This window comes from Homo sapiens, chromosome 6 (genome assembly GCF_000001405.40).
Source record: "Homo sapiens chromosome 6, GRCh38.p14 Primary Assembly".
Taxonomy (NCBI): domain Eukaryota; kingdom Metazoa; phylum Chordata; class Mammalia; order Primates; family Hominidae; genus Homo; species Homo sapiens.
The window spans coordinates 113,454,529-113,459,230 of record NC_000006.12 but is presented as its reverse complement, the minus strand read 5'-3'; positions in this window follow the sequence as shown (position 1 = coordinate 113,459,230).

Genomic DNA, 4,702 nt, shown 5'->3' with positions numbered 1-4,702 from the left:
TGCCTCGGCCTCCCAAGTAGCTGGGATTACAGGCCCCCAGCACCACATTCACCCAATTTTTGTATTTTTAGTAGAGACGGGCTTTCACCATGTTGGCTAGGCTGGTCTTAAACTCTTGACCTTAAGTGATCTGCCCACCTTGGCCTCTCAAAGTGCTGGGATTACAGGCATGAGCCACTGTGCCTGGCCCACCCTGGATTATATTTTAACAATCCAAAAGTTTTCTCATATTTGACCCATGACCTGATTGAGCTATTTTTAAACAACTAGACATCTTTATTTCTGAATCTTTTTTTTTTTTTTTTTTAAAAAAGGTCAATTTTAATGGCTGTGTGTAAATGGACTAAAGCAGGGTTCACAAACTACAGTTCATTGGCCCAGTCTGGCATGCGTCTTGTTTGTGTTTGGTCTAAAAATTAAAAATAGCTTTTATCTTTTAAAGCATTCTAAGAAAAACAAGCAAACAAAGAACAATTGGCTACAGAGATTGTATGTAGTCCACACAGCCTAAAATATTTGCTCTCTGGCTTTTGACAGGAAAAGATTGCTGCCTCCTGAGCTGAGGGATTGATTACATATTATATTTTCTGTTAATTCCTCTTAATGCACTCTCTTCTCCCTGCCCCTGTCCAACTACCCACATCCTTTCCAGGTCTCATTGCTGTCTGATGATCCAGCCCCTTCCTGAACTACGGCTTGTGTTAACAAATAAACAAACACAATATATCACTACCCATAGAGAAAATCTGTGGTTTTCCTGGTTGTTTCATGGCTTATTACAGTAGCTTTTCAAATTCAATCTCTAACCTTTATGCTAATTAGAATTAACCTATCTTGAACTTGAATGGAATCTTGCTCTCTGGAGCCATAATTAATGCACAATGTTATTCAAGAATAATTCTCATTAGTGTGTGGTAAAGAAAAGCAAGAATACTGAAGTTTGAAATACTAGTTAGTCCTCAAAATACATAAACATGTGCTGGGAAGAAATCCTTCCATAGTGAGGAAGAAGACAAGACAGAAGCTCAGGAATTAACCGGTTATAGAAAAAGACTTTCGCTTTTAAAATGGAGATAAAGAAGGGTAATTCAGAGTGTTGGAATACTGTAATCTGCTATGTGTTTATTTTTTCCTTAAGTGGAAATGGACATGTGAATAACACAATTATCTTCCTGCAGGAAAACAGAAAACCAAGACCCAATTACTCTCTCTCTCTCTTTTTCTTTGTGACCAGTGGTAATTTACCCCTTACAGTCCAGAACATGGGCTCCTGCTGACACTCTGGCCCCAGATATCTGACCTTTGTTTGTATCATTTCATGCAGGAAAATTCCTTCGTTAACTGAAGAAAGGCAAACAGTCTAGTGCAAAGCAAACGCACCAATTAAAGATGGTATGATCTAGAGCAAGCCCAAGTTGTAACAAGTAAAAAAAAAAATAGGTCAGATTAATATTTTAAACTGTTATCAGACTCCTGCATGTCTGTGAGAGGCTTTCTTTTGAGTTTTTCTCTTGACATTTTCTGAGAATTTCCTTGGTTATTTTCAAAAACTAAAAATACTTGTATGAATGTAAACGATTAAGTAATAGGTTTTATTTATGAATGGGTTACATCTCAGTTCATTGCTTTTGCAATGCTGCTAACTGCCCAATTATGTTTCATTTTGACATCAGTCTTAATGTAGAAAATGAAGAAACAAAGAATGCAAGTAAAGTTTTTACATAGACAGGCAGAGTTTGGGCAGGTCCCTTAAAAATTCTCTTAGGACTTTGTGCAAATGTCCAGCCAACCACAAAGCCATTCCCGGAATATTTCCTCTTGTCCAGCTCTAGAGGATTCTTGGTTGTCACGTGGTCTTGGAGAAATGCACGGCCATGTTTCCTTACTAAGAGGCCCCTTTCCATGATGCTGGTTGTAGCCCTCCACTGACCTTTTGTGGCGGTGACACCCACTTCCTGGCTGCCAGCTAACATCATCCTCCATCCTTCTTTTAAGAAAACAAATCTCAGGGAATGGATAACCAACCAAAGGAAGTCAGGAAGAAAGCAGAAGATTGTAACAAAATAAAAACATAAATCAACCTTGGTAACTTCAGGGAGAAGACTATAAAAGATGCAGCTTCTGGTCTATCCCTTTCCTACCAGATAAAAGTTTTAGATATGAATGGATCTTGTTACAGAATGTGTGATTAGCAAATTAGCCATTCTTTTTCTTTAATACACATTGCCACAACAGAACTGGCAAAGCACTAGACCTGGAATTGGAGATCTGGATCTGAGCCATTCAGTGGTTGTTGAAATGATGTTCCATGTGTCTGAAGATGTGAGGAATTGTGTCTTTTTTCTCGTTTTCAAGTTCATCCTTCTCATCCTTTTACCACTATCTCTTCTAGGCCCCTTTGCTGCAGGTATTGGTGTGAGATTGGAAGTGTGGGAGTTGGAGGGAGGAGAAAAAGAAGCTGCACCATCCATGTATTGCCATATATTGTCCTGGAGCCACCCGTATCAGCACACGTGCACATGCACACAAGCACACACAAGCACAGCCTCTGGCAGCCCCTTCAGTATTATTGACCTATGACTGTGTTTAGAATAATGCCTGTGGCATAGAATGTTCTTTATGGTTTTTAGCTATTCTTATTATTGTTTTATGAACAAAAGTGTTCCAGCATCAGATTAATTTGGGAAGGCTTTCATTCCTATGAGATTTACAATAAAAGTGATAAAAAGTTTTTAATTAGAGAAATCTGTTTAACTTTAGTTATTCTAGCATTCCAAAACTGTTTATTTCGAAACTCACCAGATATTATCTTGTAAAAGTGAGGTCTGTAAAAGTATTTTAGAAAATGCTCACCTAGTCGGACATCTGGAGTTTCCAGACAGTATTGCCTGGTATTGTCTCTTTACTTGTTGTGTGACGTAAGTGGGCTTCCAAGCTTCAATGAATCCCCTTTTGGTTTCTCTATTACATTGTTATTGCTGTGGCAGACACACCTTAGGATGACCCCCTTGGAATACTAGTTAGTGATCCACGCCCTTGTATGATCCCCTCTCCTAACATGTCAACGTGTTTCTAAACAAAGGAATATGGCAAAGGCTGTGAGATGTCACCCCCTTGATTAGATGATGTTATGCTGTAAAGGTGATGGGTTGTCACTACCATGATTATGTTTCGTTATATGAGACTTCATCTTAGCCTATGTATTAGTTCATTTCCACACTGCTGATAAAGACATAGCAGAGACTGGGTAATTTTTAAAGAAAAGAGGTTTAATTGACTCACAGTTCCACATGGCTGAGGAGGCCCACAATGATGGTGGAAGGCAAGGAGGAACAAAGCGACATGTTACATGGTGGCAGGCAAACAGAGAAAATGAGAGCCAAGCAAATGGGAAAACTCTTTATATAAAAGCATCAGATCTCGTGAGATTTACTCACTACTATGAGAACAGTATGGGGGAAACTCCCCCTATGATTCAATTATCTCCCACTGGCTCCCTCTCACAACACGTGGGAATTATGGGAGCCACAGTTCAAGATGAGATTTGGGTAGAGACACAGCCAAACCATATCAGCAGATGAGAGTGAGAGAGACAGAGAGAAAGAGAGGAGAGAGATAGACAGATGGAAAGAGAGAGAGGCTCTGCTGCTGAGCTTAAAGCAAGCTGCTGTGAAGTGAATGGTGTGAAGAGAGAGGGCAACATGGCAGGATACTGTGGGCAGCTCAAAGGACCTGAGGACATTGGTGATACAGCAGCATGGAAATGAATTCTGTCAATGACCACCTGAGCTTGGAAGAGGACTTCAACTCTGGAAAGGAACACAGCTCATCTGACACTTGATTGTAGCCTTCTCAGATCCTGAGCAGAGGACCCAGCTAAGCCATCCCCAAGCTCCACACTCACAGAAACTGGGCTATAGTAAGTGTGTGTTGTATTTGGGAAGGCTCTCTTTTCTATTACGTTGTTTTGAGTTGCTACATTTGTGGTAATTTTCTATCATTGCATTAGAAAACTATTGCCTACTAAAAATCTATTCACCCTTTTTTTTTCATTACTAACAAAACCTAGATTTCATTCAGAATGCCAAGCTGACCAGAAAAAGGAGTTGTTTTCCTGAATCTTTTTGCTGAAAAGTAGACAAGGTGATACATTTCTAACCAATGAGTTCCAAGTGGAAATCTGATGAGAATTCTTGAAGACTTGCTTTCCTGAGAAGGTAGAAAGACACATTGGTTCTCTCTTTTTCTTCATTTTTTTCCCTCTGAATATGGACCTTAGGTAGGAAACTGAAGCCGCTATGCTATAAAGCAGACTCATAAAGTTGCCAGCCTTGTTGAGCCACTAAACTAACACCAGTCTTCACCTGCCTACATAGACCTTGTTACCTTGAACACGTAGGAAAGAGTGATTGATGCACACATCTGTATAACAGAAGACTATTTGTTATGATGACTACAAGGATGTGTAGAAGTCCTAGTATTATGTGCATGGATTTTAGAGGATTCAGCACCAACTATTGCTTTTCCCTCACCTGAATTCAGAATCTATTGAGAGACACACATATCCACAGAAGTCAGGCAGTTGGAGAGGAAAATAATCCCCTATTTGTTTAAGCTGCTGTGTGCTGGATTTTCTGCTATGAGAAGCTGAACATATTCTTTAATAGTTTACATACATGACTGTTGTAAAAATTAATGGAAA